Here is a 26,245-nt window from a genome sequence, read left to right as displayed (position 1 = left end):
CTCCAGCCTGGGTGACAGAGCGAGACTCTGTCTCAAAAAAAAAAAAAAAAAAAAAGTTCCAGGCCGTAATAGTCTGTCCTGTGTATCAACATATGTCTCAGCAATAACACTGGGCAGGGGATCTTAACAGAAAACTCTGTAGCCACATGGAGTGGAGCTATGTTTTATCAATTTGATTATAATTTAGAGGGGTTAAAACTTGGGGGGGTACCTGACTCTTTGGAGTTATGTAGTATTTACTGTATGTTCTGGCACTTCCTAGAGCTGTTCCTTCTCCCTTGATAGTGTCGCCCAGCGCTGTATGTTCCTTGGAGTATGCTGTCATCTAGTTGTGTGAGAGCCACATTACAAGCCTATTTGTCACATGCTTACATAATGTTTATTTTTCCTTATACTAATATTACCTCCACTGAATGTTAATTCGTTGTAGCGTTTCTTTTGATAGGTTCGACCTTTTCTTCTGAGATGTATCTTCAATTTCAGGACACAATTTAGAGGCTTAAAGGTATCTTTGATGCTTTGACAACAAACCTCATGTAAACTTCCACTTTTTTTATTTTTCGTGCTTTGGTAGAAGAGCTGTTCAGATAAGAATTGGGATTCTTGCCGGGCGTCGTGGCTCACGCCTGTAATCCTAGCACTTTGGGAGGCCGAGGCGGGTGGATCACGAGGTCAGGAGATCGAGACCATCCTGGCTAACACGGTGAAACCCCGTCTCTACTAAAAATACAAAAAATCAGCCGGCCGTGGTGGTGGGCGCCTGTAGTCCCAGCTACTCGGGAGGCTGAGGCGGAAGAATGGCGCGAACCTAAGAGGTGGAGCTTGCAGTGAGCCGAGATCGCACCACTGCACTCCAGCCTGGGTGACAGAGCGAGACTCCATTTCAAAAAAAAAAAAAAAAAAAAAAAAGGATTGGGATTCTTGGGTCTCATCCCTGCAAATTGAGTAAGTCTCTCAGCCTCAGTTTTATCATATTACAATTAAGCAATTAAGCGCTTAACTGTGCTAGCTGTTTCCAATGTCATTACATTAACCAACTGGTATAAAAATAAAATCGTCTGGGAAGAATTACTTACCGTACAGATCTGGGGCCCAATCCCCAGAGTTTTGACTCAATGTCTTTGAGAACCACTGGGCTAACTCGTTTCTTTCCACTGATTGAAATTTTAAATGGTTAAAGCAGCCTGGCTTTCTCAAGAAAAGTACACGGGCGCCACCTAGTGTCCCTGAAAAGTTCGTACAGCTCACACATCAGATGTATTGAAGCTTTAACTTGGCAGGGTTACCAGTTATAAATGCAATCGAATTTGCATTTTAATTAGTGAAGCCGATTATGTATTGAGATAAACAAGTGTTGTGCCATCGACTCACTTGGAATAATTAGTTTGATCTCACTTTTGATTTATGACTTGGCATTTTTCTGGACTCAGTTATGCCTCTCAGGCTTATTCTGTCTGAATCACACACAATTGCAATAGTCCAGCTTTTTGCAATTATCCGTATTTTTGTACAACTCCAGAAAAACCAAAGTGAAAGAATAAACAAAAAGATTTTCCCAGAAGAAAATGGCAATTTCTAACTTCTTCCTATGCCTACTGGCATTGTGGGACAGACTGCCAAGGAATTCAACCACATTCCACCCACTACCCACCCCTGGACTTCTATCCTTAGACTCTCACTGCCCCCAGAATAGGGAAGGTTATCAGGCCCCTAAGGAAGGACGCATGCTTTGCTTGGCTCTCTGGGCCTTGTCTGGGCACTGCACCCCAGTGTATTATCACCCTGCTGTGCCATAGAGCCCCACATCCCACAGTGCAAGCCACAGGCTAGCAGCAGCAGCATCCCCTGGGAGCTTGTTAGATGTGGAATCTCAGTCCCCAGCCCAGCCCTGAAGGATGAGAATCTATTTTCGCAAGATGCCCGGGGGATGTATATATGTGTTAAAGTTTGAGAAACCCTACCATAGAGAACACAAAGGCTTTAGCCGAAGAGAACGCTGATTCCCTTCCCAACATGCTACTTGTCTTTGCCGTGTTTCCAGCAGCATAAAATAGTCTGGAAGGATGAACATTGGGCACATCTGGCGTTGACATTAGAATCTGCTACTCGCTACTGGCGTAATTTGAGGAGCACCTGAAACTCTCTGTGCTTTCAGTTCCTCATCTGTAATATAGGAACTGCCCTTTTTAATTCAGGAAGTTGTTGTGGGCTAACATGTGTACTGTATTTGACATCATGCATGGTTCATAGTGATAAATATTAATTTCATTTCTACCCATCCCCTGCTTCCAGGTAGAAGTACAATGGAGTGTAGTTTCAACATTGCTTTATTTTAAAAATTAGCCACAGTGTCTTTGACATGCTTCCCATCAGAGGTGGTGTCTACCTTCCCTCCCCTTGACGTGGGACTGGCTCCTGATTCTCTTGTAACCAGAAGAATGGGGAAGAAGTTACTCTGAGGCTTCTCAGCACTAGAAAAGGAAAGGCCATGTAGCTTTCACCGGTTTTCTTGGGTTGCTTGCTGTGGGGGCAGCATGCAGCATTGAGAAAACTCCATGCTGGAGAGGCCTCATGTGGTGCTCCAGCAGACTGCCTAGCTGTGCCCCCAGACAAGAGTCACCATCCGCTGCCAGGCCACGGGAGTGAGCATCATGGATGTCTGGCCCTTGTGCCCTCAGGTGGCTGCAGCCCCAGCCAATATCTGACTACAGTGATCGACAACTGCCCAGCAGATGCCCTTCCAAAATTCCTGACCCACACGATTATGCAAAATCAAAGAGTTGTTTGGGGGTGATTTATTATGCAGCAGCAGTAACTGGAACACACTTTGGTTGGTGGTTTTTGTTATAGTTTTTACTTCTTCAACGAAGGACTTATTCTAAGTCAAGATTCGACAAACTGTAGCCCTCTGGCCAAATCTAGCCTACATCTGTTTTAGGTTATTGTGAATTTTCTTTAATAGACTTTGCTTTTTAGAGCAGTTTTAGGTTCACTGCAAAATTAAGTGGAAAGTACAGAGATTTCCATATGCCCCCTGCCCCTACACATGCACAGCCTCCCCCTTGATCGACATTCTCTACCAAAGTGGCATGTTTGTTGCAGTCAAAGAACCTCCATGGACACGTCATTATCACTCAAAGTCCATAGTTCACATCAGGGTTCACTTTTCATTTGCACATTCTATGGGTTTTGACAAGTGTCTGAGCTGTATCTACCATTGTCATATCATAAAGAATCGCTGCCCTAAAAAATCCTCTGTGCTCTACCTGTTCATCCCTCCCACACCCTAACCCCGGACAACCACTAATCCTTTTATTGCCACCTTAGTTTTACCTGTTCCAGTGAGTCCTGTGGTTGGAATTATATATTACATAGCTTTTCTCAGATTGGCTTCTTTTACTTAGTAATATGCATTTGTTTCCTTCATATCTTTTCATGGCTCGGTAGCACATTTGTATATATGTTAATACATTGTGGCTACAATAATTTTGAACAAATTGATCTGTTAGATTAAGAGTAACAAGTTAAAAATTTCATTTTACCTTCACTTATTTCTTCTCTGATGTTCTTTCTTTTGTTATGTAGATATGACCTTCTGACCTATAACAATTTTTATTGCCTTGAATAACTTCTTTGAACATTTAACAAGGCAGATCTGCTAGCATCAAATTCCCTGAATTTTTGTTTGTCTGAGAAAGCCTTTAAGTCTCCTTTACTTTTGGAGGATAATGTCACAGAGTATAGAATGCTAGACTGGTGGAGTTTTTTTCTCAACACATTCAATATTTCACTCCACTGTCTTCTTGCTTGCATGGTTTCCATGAAGTCAGATGAAATTCTTACCTTTGTTCCTCTAAGGAAGTAAGGTGTTTTTCACCTTTGGCATCTTTTGGGATTTTTTTCCTTATCTGATTTTTCTGTAGTTTGAAAACAATGTGGCTAGGCTTAATTTTGACATTCATCGTGGTTGGTGTTCTCTGAGCTTCCTGGATCTGTGGTTTGGTGTCTGATTTTCAGTCATTATTGTTTCCAACTTTCCATCTGTTCCTTTCTCTCTGTCTTCTCCTTTTGGTATTCCTATTAAACATATACCTTTTCTAATTATCCCACAGTCCTTGGATATTCTATGCCTTTTTCATTCAGCATTTTTTCCCTTTGCTTTTCAGTTCTGGATGTTTCTATTGAGATATCCTCAGCCTCAGAGAGTCTTTCTCAGCTGTGCCCAGCCTACTAATGAGCCCGTGAGAAGCATCCTTCATTTGTTAGTGTTTTTGATCTCTCGCATTTCTCTTTTATTCTTTCTTAGAACTTTGATCTCTCTATTTACATTGCCCATCTGTTCTTGCTTACTGTCCACTTTATCCATTAGAGCCCTTAGCACATGAATCATAGTTATTTTAAATCCCCAGTCTCATAGTTCCAACATCCGTGCCATAGCTGAGTCTGGTTCTGACATTTGCTCTGTCTTTTCAGACTGTGGTCTTTACCTTTTTTTATGCCTTGTGATTGTTTGTTGATAGCCAGATGTGATGCACTGGGTCAGAAACGGTGGCAAATAGGCCTTTGGTGAGGTGTGGGGAAGGGAAGGGTTCCATAGCCCTGTGATTAGGACTCAGTGTGTAGACCTGTGATTAGGACCCAGTCTGTCTTGAGCCTGTGCCCTGGACTGTGAGCTTCATTCAGCTTCTCAGTTTTTCCCTGAGCTAGGACAGGGTGGCTAGGGGGAAATGGAGTTGGGTTTTTATTTTCCTCCAGGTCCATTAGGCTCTGCAAAAAAATTAAAAACCAACAGTTTAAGCTCTGATAAAGTGATTTCTATTGAGGGAAGGCCTTGTTAAGAACTAAATGCTATGGCATATTTTTAAGTGGTTTCTTTTTCCCTCCTCCTGACAGAAGCATGAACAGATTTTTCTCTGATAGTCACTGTGAGAACCTGGTTAAGCTCCTGGAGATAAAACTCACAAAAGGGTGGGTGCCCCCTCAGATTGGGCCCTCCTGGAGATTTTAACTCCCAGACCTGTGCACACTGAGCTCCCAGCAACTCCTCAATCCCAGTTCAGATTTCCTACCCAGTACTGGTTCCCATGGACAGTTCTGCCTGTGGGTTTCTGCTCTGGTAAGCTGTGATCTTCTGTATCCTCCTGTCTGCCTCTCCAAATTTGGAGGAGCAGTTTGCCCTGTGGCCTTACTTCTCTGACAGAACTAAGAAGATTCTTGAAATTTTCTGTTTGTTTAGTTTTTAAATTATTGTTAGGATGGCATGGCAACCTCCAAGCTTCCTACGTGTCACTGGAAAATGGACATCCCATCTGTTTTTGTCAATAAAGTTTTATTGGAATACAACCACACTCATTCATTTCTACATTTTCTATTGCCACTTCTGTGCTGTGGCAGAGTAGTTAAGTAGTTGCCACAGAGACTTGATGGCCCACAAAACCTAAAATATTAGCTCTTTGGACTTTTGTAGACAATTTTTCATCATGTCTGTTCTAGGTAATAGGGATTGAATAATAGGTAAAATAAAGTCTATTTTTAATAGATTGTATAGTCTAATGGGGGGGGAGATACAGTAAAAACTAATAAACATCACGTGGTGATAAATGTCATGAGGAAACTAGAGAAAAGGGGAAAAAGTGACAGGGTAATGGGGTGGTCCAAGAAGGTAAAGTAACATTTCAGCAAAGATGAGAATGGGTTGAGGGAGCGCCTCTGGGGGTAGCTGGGTGATATGGTTTGGATCTTTGTAACCTGCTCAAATCTCATGTTGCATTGTAATCACTCATGTTGGAGCCTGGGCCTGGTGGGAGGTGATTGGATCGGGGGGGTGGAGTTCTCACGAACGGTTTAGCACCAACCGTCTTGGTACTGTCCTCATGATAATGAGTGAGTTCTTGCAAGATCTGGTTGTTTACAAATGTGCGGCCCCTCCCCACTCTCTCTCTTGCTCCTGCTCTGGCCATGTGACATGGCTGTTTCTCCTTTGCCTTCTGCTGTGATTGTAAGTTTCCTGAGGTCTCCCCAGAAGCTGAGCAGATGCCAGACTTATGCTTCCTGTACAGCCTGCAGAACCTTGAACCAATTAAGCCTCTTTTCTTTATAAATTACCCAGTCTCAGGTGTTTCTTTATAGCAGTGTGAGAACGGCCAAATACACTGAGAAATATGTTCTCCAGACGGAGACGACATTAAGAGGAAATGCGCTAAGTGTGCCAGGAGGAACAACAGACAGGGCCCAGTGAGAACTGGAGCCGCGTGTAGGAGCTGAGGGCAGGGCGGCCCCAGAGGACGGGCCTCATTGAGAGCATTAGATTTGGGGGTCTGCTGTCTGCTCTGTTTCAGTGTCTAATCAGTACATATCCCTGCAGCATTTTCCATGGGGGGCCAGACACCCTGTGCCTCAGGGGCATGGGGGTGGCAGAATGACATTGTTTTGCCTGCAAAGAGGAGAACAGAGTTTTTCAGGACGGCTCCCTAGAAGAGACATCACAGTGGTAGTTCCTGCACAAAGAATTTATGGAGGAAGTGTTCCCAAGAAAAACTAGTAATTGCATGAAGGAAATAGGCAGGAAAGGGACAAAAGTGAGTAATGGACAGTCTCAAGTAAATTCCCACCTCTGTCTGATTCCCAGGGAGCTCTGGAGCACAAGTAACTCCTTAGACTTTCTTCTCTCTTGAGGCAGAGTTGGGCTCTCACACTCCCATATAGGGAGGGAAAAACTTTTTCCACTGTCTTCTGGGTTCTTCAGCTGAGGCCCTGCAAATTAGAGTTATGAAAGATAGGTGAAGAACAACAATAAAAACAAACAGACAGGCTGAAGTTTATTAGCACGTGCAGCTTGCATATACACGGGAGAACTCCGTGGTGAGTAACTCAAAGGGGTGACTAGACCTTGGGGCTTATATGGCATCTTAACAAAGATGGATAATTTTGTAGAGAAGTGACAAGAAAAGAGCTTTTGATGATTGGGGTGGCAAATTGTGGGAAGGTAAACACATGGGGAAACATATAAAAGATAGGGTTAGTGAGTAAGGTGTGTTTGTGTAGACTCTCTCAGTACCATCTCTTCTCTGATAATAAGGCCGTTATCCCCTTCCTGGAATGGCAGTTTGGGTGGGGGCAGGGACACCTTCACAACAGGACTTTATGTTCTGTTTTTGGGCAGATAGGAGGAGAGTAGAGAGTTCATTCTGAATCCACTTTTTCTCAATTGCCTCCACTTAAAATAATTCCTATTCCAGAGTGGCATATTACTCCCCGGCATTACCACTTCTCTGCCTATGCAGGCAAAGGGATTCCAATAGGCCAAGAACAGTCCATTGGAGATGAATATCTTGGTCCTTTCCTGCTGCTGTAACAAAATACAGGGAATGGAAAATTTACCAACAATAAAAATTTATTTCTCGCAGTTCTGGAGGCTGGAAGTCTAGGATCAAGGTGCTAGCAGGTTTTGCGTCTGGTGAGGGCACAGTCTGCTTCCGAGATGTCCATTTGAATGAGCACTGAAGGACAAAAAGGCCAAAAGGGGCAAAGGCCATGTCCTCTCGTGGCAGAAGAGATGGAGGGGAAATGGGCCCACCTAGCTCCCTTAACCTTTTATAAGGGCACTAATCTCATTCATGACATAGCCACCTCCTGACAGCCCCACCTCACACTGGGATTTCACTCCCAACCTGTGAAATGTGGAGGGACACATACATTCAAATGACAGCAATAAATTACGGGCACAGACCATTAGAAACAAAGCACACAGATGCCGAGGGAGGGACACGCCAGAACAGTTAAAGAAATCCAAGCGCATCTATGTAGCCTGTCAACAGAGTCTGCTACAAAGACCAAAAAGGAAATGCCTTAGGATCTTTTGCACATGCCGACATCTTATATTTGCCTATTTGTTAATTCAAGCATCAGGTACATCCCTTGTTTGCTATTTGGCTAAATATATTAATATATATGATCTTAAGTAATAATGCTGCAAGCACACTGCACCATGCAGAATCGGTCTACAGTCATGGGATGGAACCACATCAAAACCCCATGCCCAGCAGTTTTGTTTTAGAATTCCAGAGAAACACAACAGAGATAGCTGCCAGTACAGGCTTACTGTGCAAGGCCACATTCAAGCTCTACCTAGGGGCAGCATGCAAGGGAAGTGTTTAGTAATGATTATCTGGAGGATGCAAGCTAATTCTTCCATTTCTTTGATGCCTTCCATAGTGGCTATACCAATTCTGAAGACATTCAATATAAAAATAACTGTGAAGTTTATTAGCCAATTATATACATTCGGCTTTGCGTATGGCGGTGTGATTTCAGCTCTCACCAAGATACTTTCAGGAAGATGACTTTAAGACCTTGCGGTTGCTTTTATCTATCTTCACACCAGGGGGCAGGCTTGAGTCGTTTTTAATTCCTTTGTGTGTTGTTCTTAGAAAACAAAGGCTGTGTCTTATTTAAAACAAAACAAAACAAAAGCTACTACACTTGGTTACCTCAAAGGAAAAGTACCATTTGGCACTTACTTCTACCGTCACAGGCTGATTACAGACCTTCCATAGAATGGATTTAGAGTGTTACATATCCATCTGTCCTGTCTGGATTTCTTTCCACTCCATTTGGAACCATTTTTGAGGATCCATTTGAATTTTAAACAGGAAGACATAATGTCTATGCTAAAGTTCCACCGACTAATATACAGGCCAAAGTTTCCAAATTCCTAAAATTGAAAATTTGTCAAAATTTATAGTCATTTTTAATGTTTTGTGTTGCTGGTGTAAAATCTTCCAGGATAGTATGGCCAGTGCCCAAATGCAAAAACACCCTCATGTTCCTGCCTCTGATGGCTTTGACCACTGGTGGCTGAGGGTTGGCAGCAGAACTCCAGGACTGTGCCTTTGGTGGACTCATTTGCTCCATGTGACCCCCACCATAAACGCAGGCCTTGCAGAAGGAAAGGAAGAGTTTGCATCTCGGCCTGCTCTGTCCCCTTGAGTGTCTTTGCCTGGAAATTGTCAGTGTTTTCACACTTATGTTTTGCCCTCGACCTGGATATGTGGGCACCTATGCGAGGTTAAACTGTGATACTTTGATTTTCATCAATCTGGAAAGTGGTGGCACTAGCTCAGTTGCTTAGGGCAGGACAAACGGGGTTGCAACTGCAGGTGATGTCTTCATTTGACTCATTCTCTTGGCTGTGACTCTACCTGAAAGCCAACTCATCAGCTTGCAAATTACAGCCACTGAACTGGGCCTGGGGAGGCAAAGGCAAGTCTGTCTTCATTACTAGAGAGGCTGTGTAAAGTGCTTTCCCCTTCCCACCCAGCATCATGTGGTTGCCAATGCCTTGTTACACAAAGCCCAGGTGTCTGACTGCAAAGAGAAGCGGTTCTCTCATCCTGAGCCCTTCCACCAGGGGGTTGAATTCATATGTTCCCGACAATAAGTACAACTTGGTGAAGAGGCATCACTAATTCACGAAATCTGCAGATACGTTGCTTTATTCTTCATCATGTTGAAGATCCTTCATTTCTAAGGTTTTCCTTTTCTCTTCTTTTATTCTTGTTGCCATCACCAGCTGCATCAGATAGATGAAGGAGCAGCAGCTGGACAGTTTAATTTATTAGGGCTGTCAGGGCCAATCTACTGCTGATAATAGAACACAGTAGAAGTGGATCTGTCTAGTAAAGCACATTTAATCTAAATGATTCAAATAGTGTTTCAGCAGCTTCCTATAAATTAATTCATTTTAGAATCCCCCTATTAACTTGCTTTTAATTTCAGAATATGTGCACATTGCACACACATTTTTCTCTTAAAAATACCCTGTCTGCTCATGCAGAGAAGATATTTGATATTTAAAATATTTTTCCTCTGATTTTGAAAACAAGATTGAAAGTCAAATTAAAAGACATCACTTGAGATCATGGATGTCTGAACACCATGTCTTACCTAGAGACAATGGAGGATTACTTGCCAGTTCAAATCCACACCAGGAAGGAATGCTTCCACCTCAAGTTTTGGACTGACTGGCTGTCCTCCAAGCGCTGGAGTCCTCTTGGCTAAGGCATTCATAGAAACTTCCTAACTTTTCATTATTTCAAATAATCTCAAATTTACAGAAAAGTTACAAGTACCATATAAAGAACTTTATGTCCTGAATCTATTAAGTTGCCAACCTGACATTCTGTCATTCCAAATACCATAGTGTGTTACCTACCTGCTATAGAATGAATACTTGTATCCCTCCAAAATTTGTATGTTGAAATCCTTACCCTCAGTGTGGTGATATTTGGAGGTGGGGCCTTTGGCAGGTGATTGATTAGGTCAATAAGGGCAGAGCCCTTATGAATGGTATTAGAGTCCCTGTCAAAGAGACCCCATACAGCTCCCTTGTGTGAGGTTATAGTGAGAAGATGGCTGTCTGTGAACCAGGAAGTGTGCCCTCACCAGACACTGTTCCTGCTAGCACCTTGATCTTGGAATTCCCAGCCTCCAGAACTGTGAGAAATAGATTTCTATTGTTTAAAAGCCACTCAGTCTGTGACATTCTGTTAAAGCAGTCTAAATCGACTAATAGTACCAAAAAGAAGCATCATTTTCTTTTTCTCCTTTTCTTTTTTCTTTTCTTTTTTTTTAGACAGAGTCTTGTTGCATTGCCCAGGCTGGAGGGCAGTGGCATGAAGATCATATCTCACTGTAGCCTCAACCTCCCACGCTCAAGTAATCCTCCCACCTTAGCCTCCGGAGTAGCTGGGACTGCAGGCACATGCTACCTACCATGCCTGGCTAATTTTTTAAAATATTTTTTGTAGATACAGGGTCTCCCTAGTCTGGTCTTTAATTCCTGGGCCCAAGTGATCCTCCCACCTTGGCCTCCCAAAGTGCTGGGATTACAGGTGTGAGCCGCCATGCCTGCGTTTTCTACACAGCCACATGCCACCATCAACATTAAGACATTAACACTGAGACCTTACTGCCACTTATTTATCAGGTCCCAAGAAGGTTCTCCAGTTGCCCTAATAATGAAGATCCAATTGAAAGTCACATGTTGCATATTTTGTCATATCTCTTTTTAGTCTTATTGATTCCAGAACAGTTCCTCAGCCTTTCTTTATATTGGCCTTGGCACTTCTGAAGAGCACAGGCCAGTTGTTTTACAGAATGTCCCTCCATTTTCCTTTGGCTGACACTTTCTCATAGTCAGGTTCAGGTGATGCACCTTTGGCAGGACTATCAGAGAAGCCATAGTGGGCTGCACCATTGTTCCAGATTCAGTGTGTTTCATGGCTGGCGGCGCTCACTCTGATCACTCAGTCGAACATGGTGTCTGCCAGGCTTTTCAACTCCAACGTTACTCTTTTCCCCTCTGTAATTAGAAGGTATGGGAGGAGGAAGTTAGTAGAGAATATGAAATATAGACTTTCATTTTTAAAACATAAATCAGCAAAAGATCTTTTATATCAAATTTTAGTTAATTTTCTAAAATTGATTGGCTTTCTTAAGTCTCTTTGTTCTAGATGCACACAGAAGGAAATTATCTCTTGGTGTCTCTGTTTCTCATTTCATGGGGAGGCAGGTCCTACAATGCTTGAAAACCAAGGCCTATACTCTCTCACCCCTATGTTTTTAAGTTTTAATTGACATTTAATGTATTCTTTAAGTGCACAAGTTATGAAGTGTACAGCCCAACACATTTTCACAAAGGAAACACATCAGATCAAGAATCACGATGTTATAGACCCACCCCAGCAGATTCTCACCTTGTGTCTGCTTCCATTCTCAATCACCTCCATGGGTCACCGTTGCCAACTATACATTTTGCTGGTTTTTGAACTTAATTTTCATGGAATTCTTTAGTACCTGTATGATTGTGCCTGATTTCTTTCACTCAACATTATGATTATGAGATTCAGCCTTATTCATGCCACTGTATATAATTGTAGTTATTGCCCCTCCTGGGCTACGGTCCACATGTGGGGTCTTTTACTCCTTCCTTCACTTGACAAGCACCTGTGTATTAGTCCATTCTCACACTGCTACAAAAAATTAACTAAGACTGGGTAATTTATAAAGAAAAGAGTAATTGGCTCACCTCCTCTGCAGGCTGCACAGGAAGCATGATGCTGGCATCTACTTGGTGTCTGGGGAGGCCTCAGAAAACTTACAATCATCGGGGAAGGCAGAGGTGGAGCAGATACATCACATGGCTAGAGCAGGAGGAAGAGAGGGCGGCAGGAGGTGCCACACACTTTTGAAGACTGAGATCTTGTGAGAACTCACTCATTATCATGAGAATAGTACCAAGGGGATGGCACTAAATCATTCATGAGAAGTTCACCCCCCATGATCCAGTCACCTCCCACCGGGCCCTACCGCCAACATTGGAGATTACTATTTGACATGAAATTTGGGCAGGGACACAGATCCAAATCATATCAACCTACTAAGCATCCAGAAATTTAAGTAAAGTGAGTAACACTGGTGCTTACACTTTTGACCATCTAGTCTGTCTAAATTCTCTTCACTTTTTTTTGAGATGGAGTCTCGCTCTGTCACCCAGGCTGGAGTGCAGTAGCGCCATCTCGGCTCACTGCAACCTCCACCTCCAAGGTTCAAGCCATTCTCCCACCTCAGCCTCCCCAGTAGCTGGTATTACAGCTGCATGCCACCACACCCGGCTGATTTTTTGTACTTTTAGTAGAGACGGGGTCTTACCATGTTGACCAGGCTGGTCTCTAACTCCTGGTCTCGAGTGATCCGCCTGCCTTGGCCTCACAAAGTGTTGGGATTAAAGGCATGAGTCACCTTGCCTGGCAATTCTCTTCACTTTTAACCCAGTGGGGAAGCAATAGTAGTTGTCCACTGTATACCTGACACTGTGCCAGGTGTTAACACATACCATGTCTCACTTAATCCTTCCTCCAATCTAGCAATATATCATTATGTCTGTTTTTTAGGGAAGGAATCTGATATTTACAGAGAGGTTTCCATAGTTCGCATAAGACCTTATAGTTAGGTGACAGAGCAGATATTCAAACCTACATCTATCCATGTGCAAAGCTGGCTACAGCAGTCATGAAGATGCCCTGCTTCATATCCCCTGAACACACCTGAGTTTACCTGCAGCTTTGGTGGACTCATCTCATGCACACTAACAGTTTCTCTCTGCTCTGTGTCCAAGGGCTTTCTCTGACATGACAATCCTGCCCAGAAATGCCAGGCAATGAATGCCCCCAAAGGTAATCCTTAACCAATGTGGAAAGGAAGTTCTTGGATAAATACCCCCGCTTCTCTGACCTGCATTTGACATGGCTCTGCAGGGCATCTGCTGCAGCACAGAGGCCCAGTTGCCCACAGCATTAACCAGCTCAATGGGGCACCCAATGTGGATTTCTCTCATTTTCATTGCACTTTCTTCAGTCTGTCATGTGGCTTTCTGGAATCTCCTCACAAATAAAGAACCTGCACTAAAGTCCTTCTTCCTTGAGTTGCTTTCAAGGGAACCCAAATTAGAACACTTATTCTCTCTACAGTTCCTTGTACTGGGGTACCTAGTGCTTCTGAATAAAGCTGCATCCCAGATAACGCCCCAGTGAGGAGTTGTACAAGCCTGGGCTTTTCCTCCCTGCCATAGAATGCCTAGCCTACAGCATTCCATGGCCCCTTGGAGGCGGAAAACTGACAAGACAACCAGGTATCTTTTCTCTAAATGTCTAAAGAGGGAGGAGAAAGAGGTGTCATTTTGGTGTGTGGGTGGCAAAGGGACAAAGCAGATCAAGCTGGAGGGACTCACAAAGCAGGAGGAGTCATTAGAGGTCACAAGTTTGGATGCAGGGGTGTGAATAGGATTTCTAGCTAAGAGAACAAGCTTTGGCTCTAGAGAGACCTGGCTTCAAAACCTGATTCCTCCACTTAAACTATAGCTTTGTGACCTTCACTGAGTGGCTTGTCCTCCATACTTCAGTGTCCTTGTGCCATATGCTGTTGTGTCAAACTCCTGTTAACCTCAATAGCAAAGGGGACCCCATTCAAGAGGCCAGAGAAGAGACCCAGAGCCAGAAAATGAGACATGGGGTTTTATTAGGGGGCTCACATACAGGGGAGAGGGTCCAGTGGCAGGAAAACCGCAATTGCTTGCAAATAGCATGCAGTTTATGTAGCATTTTCACATAGCACCTTCCCCCTAATGACATCCAGCTGGCAACCTTCATTTAACCCAAAACTCAGGACCTCAGTGCCCTAGGCAGCTTGTGTTCCACAGAAGAGCCCAGGGGCTCTGATATTTGTCATTGACAAGGAACTAATCAGGTTGGCCACTCCCGGATGCCCTAGCTTGGAACACACATTCAGGTGCATCTGCCATACAGGGTTATTCTAAGGATGTGTTTAAGTTATTGCTATCAGGTGTGTTTACCCTGATATCAATAATTTGTGGTGTGGTGATCATAATTCTGCCAATCTTATAGGATTTTTTAGCGGATTAAATTTGAAAATATATGTAAAGCTCTTAACACAACTGTCAGGAAGTAAAGCTTTTTTTATGACGTTAGCAATGTGAATGTAGCAGTGAAGATGTGGGTTCTGTAGCTAGACGGCCTGGGTTCAGAGGCACAGCTTTTCTACCTCCTGGCTCAAGACTCAGTTTCCACACCTGTAAAATGGGGATAATAGTGCAAATCTCATACGGTTGTTATGGAGATTATATACAGACAGAGAGGGAGAGCAGGCACTTCAAAGGGTGTGTATAGCAGCACAGCATAAGCACTCTAATGTTATCTGTAAATCTAGAAAAATAACTTGAATCCATAAGCTATCTGGAGTCAGGAAAGCCCTATCATGGGTGAGGATGTACACAGTTTTGCTTAACTAACGTACCAGTTGGGGTATTAGCTCATCAAGAAGAACAATATGGAAAGACAGTCTTAAATGTTTTTCTCAGGCAGAAGCTGTATGTGAGCTGGGGATCAGCCAGGGAGAGGCAGAAACCTTTGGGTGCCAGGAGGAGCTGATTCTCTGATATAAATAGGGCAGAACTTGGAGTCTTCAGGGAATGAGGTGGAATGAATGGAAGGGATTCACAGAAGCGGGAAGAAGAAAACAGAGAAGGTGGAGTTGACACAGATAAAGAAAATGGATGGCTACCTCCTCTCTTCCAGGTAAAGCTTGCTGCTGCCAATGTGTTCTCCCTCCCCAACTAGAAACACTTCCCAGGAAAGGCCAAAAGTGCTTGCATTACTTCCTGAGAGCTCCATCTACCCAGAAAGTCACTGTGTCATTGGCAGGTAGCTTGTAGGCCATTTGGCCATTTTCTACACCGGAGGCGTCTATAATCTTTCCCCTCCAGGGCACCATTCCTTCCAGCTTGCTGCACTTTGTGATGCTTCCGTGTTGAAAGTAGTCCCTCCCACCTTCCTGGGTTCTTTGCTAAGATAAAATGAGGCAAAATAAATCAACTTGGCTTTCACATCAAAGCCACCTCTGTCTAAACCATCTGTGACTTAGAGGAATTAGAACTGAAATTCGTGAGTGATGACATCTTTGTTTTGTTTGCTTGCTTTTTGGTTTTTGTTTTGTTATTTTCTAGTTAGAGTAGATTGAATAAATGGATAGTTTTGCCTGCTAAAGCTCTGTTACATGTACAGTTCAGGCAAGATGGGGAATATCCTTGGATTCAGTTCTAATTATTCCCTCAGAGGAAACCGAACTTTGATTGATGAAGAGGATCCTTTCTGTGTTCAGCTCAGATGCTGTGGTCACGTTTGACTGATTTGGAGCAGCTCTGAATCTCAGCTCTGTCAAATATTGCATGTAAACCAAGCTTCTTACTAGCTACTAATCTAGCATGGAAAAGTCCTGCAGTGCAAAATGATGAGAATAGAATGATCTGCAAAAAGAACTTTTAGATTCTCAGAAACTGACTGACGAATCAGCCTGAAGCACTAGCCATAAAGATAATTAATTCATGACAGGTGAGCATCTGTAGTAAGCACATCCCAGACACCAAGGGGCTGTGCTCCACCTGAATACAATGCAGCTAGCCATGGGCACTATTATTCCCTAGGTTGTATGGTAGCAACATTAGGAGCAAGGGGTCTGCATTCAGACATTACTGGAGTTTATTTTATTTATTTATTTATTTATTTATTTATTTATTTATTTATTTATTTATTTTTGAGACAGAGTCTTGCTTTGTTGCCAGGCTGGAGTGCAGTGGTGTGATCTCGGCTCACTGCAACCTCCGCCTCCTGGGTTCAAGTGATTCTCCTGCCTCAGCCTCCCAAGTAGCTGGGACTACAGGAGTGCACCACCACACCCAGCTAATTTTTGTATTTTTAGTAAAGACGGGGTTTCACTATGTTGACCAGGATGGTCTCGATCTCTTGACCTCGTGATCCTCCCGCCTCGGCCTCCCAAAGTGCATTCCTGGAGTTTAATCCCGAGTTCACCAGTGTATTAGTCAACTATGGTTGCCAAAATGCTACATAGCAAACAACCCTACAAATGCTAATGACTTATAACAGCAAACATTTCTTTTTCTTGCTCATGGGTCTTAGGCTGGTAGGGTTACTCTGCTTTGAGGTTCAGGTCACTTAGAGTTGGCTGCGGGTTTTAGGTTGGGTTCAGGTCTGTTCTGGACGCCTCTTGGCATTTTTTTTGGACCAGCAACTGCCCAGGTCAGGTTTTTTTCAGGGCAGATGGCAAAGACTCAAGGAACCAGTCGATATATATAATAGCCTCTGCTTTTGTCAGTTCACCAACATTCCAGTGGCCAAAACAAGACACGTGGCCAAGTTCAAAGTCAGTGGGTCCCACTCTACTGGGAGGCTCTTAAAAAGTCACATGCAGACGGTGAGATATATCATCATCACAGGGAAGGAGGGAAGAATCGAGAGAATATTTCACCTGCTACAACCACTAAAAAAGCTATGGAACCTCAGTCAATGCTTGTAACTTCTTCTTTCTGATTTGTAAGATGAGGTGTAATAATAATATAAGTCTCCTAGGGCTATTGGGACGATCAAATGCAAGAGACAGATGATAGCACATAAAGATTAATAAAGGGGAACTTTCTTGTTATAGAACCAACCCTTTCTGTTTTAACCCTTTTTGTCTCCTGACCTCTTTCCCCCATTCTGGTAGCAACTCTCTTCCTCAATTTCTAAATTCTTGGAAATTCTGCTTGCTTTCCTCTCATTTCCAGGGCTAATTCAAATTATTATGCTTACACATGAAATTAAGGCAATGTGAATATCTTTGCAGACTCTCCCTTGTAATAGGCTGTGGGAAAGATAGATGGGAATCCAGATATCAGCTTTATTATTATAAAGCCCCATTTACTAAGGAGGCCTTGTACAATATACACCTCTATCTCACCCTCCAGCTTAGATATAAGAGAGAGCTCTGCAAGGCTGATACTGGTCAACCTGCTACAGAGGAGTCACTTTACACACACTTACCTGCCTGTTTGGGGTCAGAGTGGGACTCTTAACCTCCAGAAGAGAAGTTCTGGGTCCTTACCCCATGGAAGTAGAAAACACAGGCTATGCAGACAGGAAAACTCTCCAGAAAAAATGAAGAGAAGGTCCTTTGAGCCATGCATGGGCCCTAACCGTTCTCCTTTCTCCCCTGCCAGATAAGCCACACTCCCTGCCACATGCAGATGAGTAGGGGAGGTGGGAGAGAACAGAAGTATTATTCCAGTGGAAGACTCTGCAGGGAAATGTGAGGACAGCAGAGAAGCAGTTCCCCTGACAACCTGTTTTGCAGATAAGAAAGGTTAATCCCTTGCTGGGAGCTTTCTATCCAGCAGAGAAATCAGCAGCCTTAGAGTCAGTGGCCTGGACTAAGATCAATAATGGTTATCTATTATGACAAATAAGTCTGTGTAACAAAGCACTCTGAAGCTAAAGAGCTTAAAATACACTCAAACTGCAAAACATTACTGAGAGAAAGAAGACATAAATAAATGAAAAGACATCCTCTGTTCATACATTGGAAGACATAATATTGTTAAGGTGAAAATGCTACGAAAGTCATCCATAGGTTCAATCCAATCCCTATCTAAATGTCAACAGTGTTTTTTACAGAAATAGGAAAACCATCCTAAAATTCATATGGAATCCCAAAGGGCCCAAATAGCCAAAACTCTCTTGAAAAAGAACAATGTTAGAGGATTCACACCTCCTGATCTCAAAACTTACTACAAAACTACAATTAAAACCAAAATAATATTATAATGGTATAAGAACGGACATCTAGGCCAATGGAATAGAATATAGCACTCAGAAACAAACCCTCACATATGAGGTCAGATGCTTTTCCACAAGGCAACCAAGACTATTTAATGGAGAAAGGATAATCTTTTCAACAAATAACGCCGGGAGAACTGGATACCCAACAGCCTAAAAAATGAAGGTGGCCCCTTATCTTATACCATATACATAAATTAACTCAAAATGGGTCAAAATGTAACCACAGAAGTTAAAACTATAAAACTTTTAGAAGGAAACATGGCGGAAGCTTCATGACATTGGATTTAGTAATAATTCCTTGAAAATTACACCAAAAGCGCAAGCACCGAAAGAAAAAAAATGATAAATTAGACTTATCAAAATGCAAAACTTTTTGCACTGAATTACACTGTTAAGAGAGTGAAAATCCGTAGAATATGAGAAAATAGTTGCAAATAATATATCTGATAAGGGATTAATACCCAGAATATAGAAAAATCTGTAACAACTCAGCAACAATAAAAAGAAACAGCCCAACTCAAATACAAGCAAAAGACATAGCTAGATACTGCTCCAGAGAAGATATATAGATGGCTAATAAGTGCAGGAAAAGAAAATCAACATAGTCTGAGAAAATGCAAATCAAAAATCACAGTGAGATACTAAGTCACACCCATTAGGATGGCTATGATTAAAATAATATTTTTAATGGAAAATAACAAGTGTTTCAAGGATGCGGAGACATTGGCATCCTCATGCAGTGCTGATGGGAATACCAAATGGTGCAGCTGCTGTGGAAAACAGTTTGTTGATTCTTCAGAAGGTTAAACGTGGACTTAACTCTAGCAACTCCACTACTCAGTACACCCAAAATAGTTCAAAACAAGGACTTGAACAGATTATTGTATATCAATGTTCACAGGAGCATTATTCACGACAGCCAAAAGGTGCAACAATCCAAATGTCTGTTGACAGATGAATGAATGGATAAACAAAATGTGGTAGATATTATTCAACTTTTAAAAGGAATGAAATTCTTATACATGTTACAACATGGATGCACCTTGAAAACACTATGCGAAGTGAAATAAACCAGGGACAAAAGAACAAGTCTTGTGTGATTTCACTTATATGGGGAAGCTAGATAGGCAAAGTCATAGAAACAGAAAGTAGATTCGAGGTTACCAGGGGCTGGAGGGAAGGGGAATTATTGTTTAATGGGTACAAAGTTTCTACGTGAGATGATTTAAAAAAAGTTCCAGAAAGGAATAGTGGTGATGGTTGTACAACACTGTGGATTGACTGAATACCACCAAATTTTATACTTAGAAATAGTTAAAATGGTAAATTTTATGTATATTTTACCACAGTATAAAAAGAGTTTAAAACAATAAGCATTTATTCAAATTTAAAAGAAAAAAACATACAGCCCCATCAAAAGTGGGCAAAGAACATGAACAGACACTTCTCAAAGGAAGACATTTATGCGGCCAACAAGCATATGAAATAAAGCTCAACATCACTATCATTAGAGAAATGCAAATCAAAACCACAATGAGATACCATCTCACACCAGTCAGAATGGTGATTATTAAAAAGTCAAGAAACAACAGATCCTGGCAAGGCTGTGGAGAAATAGGAATGATTTTACACTGTTGGTAGAAATGTAGATTAGTTCAACCATTGTGGAAGACAGTGTGGTGATTCCTCAAGGATCTAGAACCAGAAATACCATTTGACCCAGCAATCCCATTACTAGGTATATACCCAAAGGAACATTAATCATTCTATTATAAAGATACATGTATGTATATGTTTCTTACAGCACTATCTGCAATAGCAAAGACACGGGATCAAGCCAAATACCCATCAATGATAGACTGGATAAAGAAAGTGCGATATGTATACACCATGGAATACCACACAGCCATAAAAAGGAATGAGATCATGTCCTTTGCAGGGACATGGATGAAGCTGGAAGCCATCATCCTCAGCAAACTAACACAGGAACACAAAACGAAACACCGCATGTTCTCACTCATAAGTGGGAGCTGAACAATGAGAAAACATGGACACAGGGAGATAGGCCAGGAACAACACACACTGGGCCTGTCATGGGGGGAGGGAAAGCATCAGGATAAGTAGCTAATGCATGCAGGGCTTACTACCTAGGTGAGAGATTGATAGGTGCAGCAAGCCACCATGGCACATGTTTACCTATGTAATAAAACTGCACGTCCTCCACATGTATCCTGGAACTTAAAATAAATTTTTTTAAAAACTGTTTATTGTTCCTCACAATTCAGCAAGTTGGCAGTTTGGCCTGTGCTTGACCCATGGTTCTAGCCTCATCAGGGCTCACTCGCATCAGCTTCTGAGTTGGCTAGAGGCTGGCTGGCCTAGCATGGCCTCAGCTGGAAAGACTGGTCTCTGTTCCTCGTGTCTCTCATCATTCACCAGGCTAGTACAGACTTGTACACATGGTAACCAGGCAGGATTCAAAGCTGCACAGCCTCTAGAAACGTAGACTTGATTGGGCACAACATCATCTCTGCTGTATTCCATTGGCCAGAGCTAAACCCAAAGTCAAGGGAAAGGGAAACAGACTCCATCTCCTGATGGGAGGAGGTGCGGAGTCACACTCCAAAGGACATGCATACAGACAGAAGAGGAGAATTGGAACCACTTTTGCATCAACCTACTCGAGTTTGGTTCTGACATTGTTAAGAATGTGTCAGGACACCAAATGGCATGTGACAGGATGTGCTCATGTAAGTAACCTAGGATTTGTTCACATAAAGGGTCAGTGCTTGTTTTAGGAATTTAAAAGTGAAGGAAAGCATACACAAACCTCAGTTCATGCATACAGTTTTCTCTCCCAGTAGGTAAGCACCTATCAGATTGTTTTTCAATCAAGCCAGCTGCTTTGCACTTTGTAGGAGCTGTAACTATCTGGATTAGCTGAGACATGGAGAGAGCCTTCAAAGCAACAGAATTTTGAAGCTAGAAGGGTGCCAGGGAAACCCTCTCAGTACAGATAAGGACCATAGCCCCAGCAAGGGAAAGTGATTTGGTGAAGGCTTCATAGTTGCCACAGATGGAACTTGCACTAGAATCCAGATTGCCAGATTTATAATCCAGCACTCTCTCTAGGACATGGTGCTGATTTCATTTTCCCTGGAATATGTAAACCCCAGTTCAGCCACCAAGGGAACACAATCTATTCTTTGAGACCTTGCAACTAAGAGCATGCTCTGCAGCCAGCAGTATTAGCCTCACCTAAGAGCTTGTTAGAAATTCAGAATATTGAGCCTTATGCCAGACCTGCTCCCTTGGAGTCTGCTGTTTAAGGAGATACCTGGGGCATTTATGTGCCAAGTAGGGTTTAATACGCACTGCATTAGGACACGGGTTTTCAACCTCAAATACTAGGAATTGCCTGGGAGAGGTTTAAAACTACCACTGCCTGGTCTTTACCCCAGAGATTCTTATTTATTAAGTATTTGCTCTTGGGTGCAGTCTGGGCTAAAGGATTTTTAAAAGCTCCTCAAGCCACGACTTCTCTGTAGTCTTTTTTTTTTTTTTTTTTTTTTTTTGAGACGGAGTCTCGCTCTGTCGCCCAGGCTGGAGTGCAGTAGTGCTATCTCAGCTCACTGCAAGCTCCGCCTCCTGGGTTCACACCATTCTCCTGTCTCAGCCTCCCGAGTAGCTGGGACTATAGGCGCCCACCACCACGCCCGGCTAATTTTTTGTATTTTTAGTAGAGACGGGGTTTCACTGTGTTAGCCAGGATGGTCTTGATCTCCTGACCTTGTGATCCGCCCGCCTCGGCCTCCCAAAGTGCTGGGATTACAGGCGTGAGCCTCCGTGCCTGGCCTCTGTAGTCTATTTCTAAGATGCTGAAGACATTGGCAGCTTTTTATATAGTTTTCTGTCTGTGCAGTGGGGTAGTATTTTCCTAAAGAGTAAACAGCCTTCAGAAGACCCTAGTTGATTGACCTGCTCCAGCATCCTGGGTCAGATGTAAGATCAAGGGATTTTAAAATTGCTGAGGACTACTTAAATACATTTTCATAAGGGAGGAAATTAAAGACCAGAAGTGGTCATTGAGAGGAATTTTTTAAAAATCAACTTTGTTTCCCAAGTGGAATAGCATTAATGTACAATGAAATTCCATGTAATAAAGGTGTGGCAAATTACATAGTTCAACAGTGAAGGCCAAGAAACACGTAAATTATGGAAGGAAGAAGAGACAGAAGGGAATGCAAGTAGACTACAGGCCTTACACATGAACAAAATCAATAGTTAAGCTATAAATTTGATTTTTTTCAAGCCTCTGGGGAGTCCATTTGAAACAGTTACAAGATTTCTATCAACAGAAAAGGGGAGTGGGAAAAGCAGAATTTCCTCTAGGAAAGCCAAGCTTTCTAACTCTAATTTGTAAATAAGTGTGTCAGGAGGCCTTTCTAGGGGGACACTTAATGAAGTAGCGAACGATGTCTTCAAGAACATTCCTGGGCCAAAACACCCCTGGATTTTATGTTTCTTGTTAAAGAACCCCTGGATTTTATGTTTTTGTTAAATCTGTGGTCTTTATGTGAAAACAACTGATAGAATACAATTTTGGAAACAGGAAAGATAATGTTGTTTGAGTCTCTTCTGATGTGTGTGTTTTGCTTTATCTAAGATATAACTAAGCTTTATCTGAGATATAACTTAGAGAAGAGGAGCTTCAATTTGGCAAGGCAGCTTAGAGAGGAAAGAAGTGGATCATCTCTCTTTGTTGGTACAAGGGTTTGTGCTGTTCTGTTAGTATCATTGAGGGAATCAATGGGATTATTCAGTAAACTCTTTTCAGAGTCCTGCATTCTGGACTTAAACTTGCCCTCTTGGATAAACACATGGGATAAATACGCTCCATCATTCAGTCACAGAATGCATTCTAGGAGCATAATGTCCAGAGGTGCCCTTGGTGTTGTGAATCAATCATTTTTCCTTTTCTGTTTTGAATTGCTGTTTCTTTTTCTATTAAATGAAAGAATGACCCTATTAATCTGAAGTTTAGGGGCTAGATTTTTTTTATTTGATACTATCTCTCTCTCTCTCTATATATATGTATATGTGTATATATATGTATATGTGTATATATATATGTATATGTGTGTATATGTACATATATGCACACACACATCTAAATACACCTAAATATACATATATCTAAATGTATGTGTATATGTGTTTATATATATCAGTAAATTCTCTCCGTAATAAATATATGATTTTATATATACACAGAGGGAATGGACTGATTTTAAAATCCTTATTGAGTTGAAATGGTTTGGATCATGAAAAGGGGACCTTAGGAGTAAAGACTAAATCAAAGGCAAATGGTTGTGGACCAAAATTAGGGCTGTCGAAGCAGAAGTTGATTAAAAAGATTTATTGGAAGTCAAATGTGAGAAATGACCTGGGAAAACACACCAGCAAAGTTGGGAATGATCCAAAGTCTGTTACAAGTTGGAATGCTTTTATAGGAAAGTATGGGAGAAAGGAGAGGGACTCCCATATCAGAGTTGTCCTTTTTCATTGGAGGGTACAATACAGGGATTATTGTCATTGTCTACAGATTGCAACATACAGGCTAACACATCTATGTGCAAGACAATCAGTGAAATTTCCTGATTCAGATACAAACCAGCAAAACTTCATAATTCAGAAACAAATCAGCATCCTTTTCAATGTCAGTAGGTTACTCATTAATCAGTGTGTCAATAAGATAAGGAACTCAGATAATTCTTTACTCAGGAACAGGATGTTGCCATGAATCACAAGACCTCCCCAAGGCAGACTAATTTAGAAGCCTGCAAATGTGACCTGCAGGTTGTCTTGGTTGACCAGTGCTGTCCAGACTTCAATGTATATTTTAATTACCTGGAGATTTTGTTAAAATGCAGATTGTGATTCAGTAGATCTGGATGGGGCTGCAATTCTGCATTCCTAACAAACTTCCAGGTGATGGTGATGCTGCTGGCCTAGGGACCAAGCTTTGAGTGGCAGGAGGAGAAGTTCTAGCAATATGGTTCCCAAACTTGGCTGCCCATTGGAATCCCCTGAAGAGCTTCAGAAATTACTGAACCCTAGAACGATGATCAGAGATGTAATTGGTCTGGGAAGAGACCCTGGCCTCCACCCTGATGATTCCAATGTGCATGGCTGGGAGCCCCTGCAATTGAAGCTGCCAGATGAAGCGGAATCTCTCACTGCCTTAGCCTTTCCTACAGGTTATTAGAAATCCTCAAGGTGCATTCTTAAACCTTCCATTGGGTTTCAAAGGAACAAAATATTTTAAATGTGAACACATCTCTTACCCCTAGATAAGGAGGGGGAGAGAGAGAGAGAGAGAGAAAGAGAGAGAGAGAGAGAGATCCTTGGGATAAATGTCTCATTTTGCAAAAAGAAAAGACATGATTTGATTCTGTATATAGCTTATCTAAATGAAAGAAATGTTGCAGAGTTAGCGTTTCTGCGGTGCAAAAGGAAAGCACCTTAAGGAATCGCCACACTGTCTTCCACAATGGTTGAACAGAGTTGAACAATGAGAACAAATGGAGACAGGGAGGGGAACATCGCACACCGGGGCCTGTCCGGGGAGTGGGGGTCAAGAGGAGGGAGAGCACTGGGACAAATACCTAATGCATGTGGGGCTTAAAACCTAGATGTAACAAACCTGCACGTTCTGCAAATGTATACCAGAACTTAAAGTAAAATTTAAATAAATAAATAAATAAAAAGGAAAGCACCATAGACTTGCAGGTGTCTCTGGGTAAGCCAAGTTAGTACATAGAGATGCATCAGGCTCCACTGGTGGGATTGGTAAAGAGATTGAGGATGAAGGGAGCCTAACCTACCAACTCTTTTTTTTTCTTTTGATACAGGGTCTCACTCTGTTGCTCAGGCTGGAGTAAAGTGGTATGATTATACCTGACTGCAAACTCCAACTCCTGGGCTCAAGGGATCCTCCGACCTCAGCCTCTTGAATAGCTGGGACCACAGGCACTTGCCACCATGCCCAGCTATTTTTTTTTTCTTTGTAGAAAAAAAAAGGGATCTAGCTATGTTGCCCAGGCTGGTCTGGAAGTCCTGGCCTCAAGCAGTCCTCCTACCTCAGCCACACAAAGTGCTTGGATAACAGGTTTGAGCCACCGTGCCCAGCCCTGCCAACTCCTAATAGTATGAATAGCATCATTTCTTTGGCATTTGCTAAGAGTTACTGGAATATTTCAGCTACGGGCTTGTATCTCTGATTGGGTTTAAGAGATGGGATTTTCTTCCCCTCTGAACCAGCCACCCACCCACAGCCACATCCCACAACACCTGTTCTCTCTCCCTTAGACTTTCAGTCTTTGACCTTGCTGCATTCTCCTTACTTATCAGCACTCTCCTTTAATAATCTCCTTTCAGCTTAAACTGCATGGTTCATCCACATTCTAGTGCCCATTGCTACCTACCTACTTGCATGACAGCTGCCTGGCAAACACCCATTCTGAGTATATCCAATGTCCCACCTTTGCAGAAGCTGCCCATAGAGTGCTGCATATTTGCTGGACAAGTCAAGCAAACTTTTGGTTTGGTGCAATTCCAATGTATTTTGACAAAGGAATAATTTATGTGTAATAAGATATACAAATCATAAACGTAAAGTATGCCAAATTTTTACAAATGTATGTATTCTTGTGACCACAACCAAGATCAAGATATACAACATTTTCATCACCCAGAAAGTTCCCTTGGGCCCCATCCCAGTGAGCACCTTTCCCCTAGGGGTAACTAGTACTCTGACTTTGATCACCAAAGAGAAATTAGTAATGAATATCAAGGAATGTTTGGTAAAGCTGACTAAGGTACATGTGCTTGTTTGTTACATGGATATTACACGCATAGTGGTGGGGGTTCTGCTTCTAGTGTACCTATCACTGAAATATTGAACATTGTACCCAACAGGTAATTTTTCAACCCTC

At 42.3% G+C, this 26,245-nt stretch overlaps 1 protein-coding gene and 1 long non-coding RNA gene across 8 annotated transcripts in view, besides 1 other annotated feature; one reads left to right on the top strand and one right to left on the bottom strand.

The window, feature by feature from the left end:
• The window catches only part of PAK5 (p21 (RAC1) activated kinase 5), a 301,707-nt gene that overhangs the window by 220,618 nt on the left and 54,844 nt on the right, over positions 1–26,245 (top strand). The gene's annotated exons all lie outside the window — the stretch shown is intronic.
• Positions 1,838–2,027: an enhancer, noted in NCBI's record as "active region_17538". NCBI's record gives its function as "activates an Ori minimal core promoter by ATAC-STARR-seq in GM12878 lymphoblastoid cells {active_cell/tissue: GM12878}" and the evidence as "EXISTENCE:reporter gene assay evidence [ECO:0000049][PMID:35858748]".
• LOC105372523 (uncharacterized) overlaps positions 11,285–26,245 on the bottom strand; it is a 44,234-nt gene continuing 29,273 nt past the window's right edge. Inside the window, exon 3 of the long non-coding RNA XR_937250.3 lies at positions 11,285–11,362. This is a non-coding gene — a long non-coding RNA (uncharacterized LOC105372523). The remainder of the gene's footprint in view (positions 11,363–26,245) is intronic.

This window comes from Homo sapiens, chromosome 20 (genome assembly GCF_000001405.40).
Source record: "Homo sapiens chromosome 20, GRCh38.p14 Primary Assembly".
NCBI classification, from domain to species: Eukaryota; Metazoa; Chordata; class Mammalia; order Primates; family Hominidae; genus Homo; species Homo sapiens.
The sequence above is the reverse complement of the archived record's forward strand: the minus strand, read 5'-3'. Positions and strand labels throughout refer to the sequence as shown.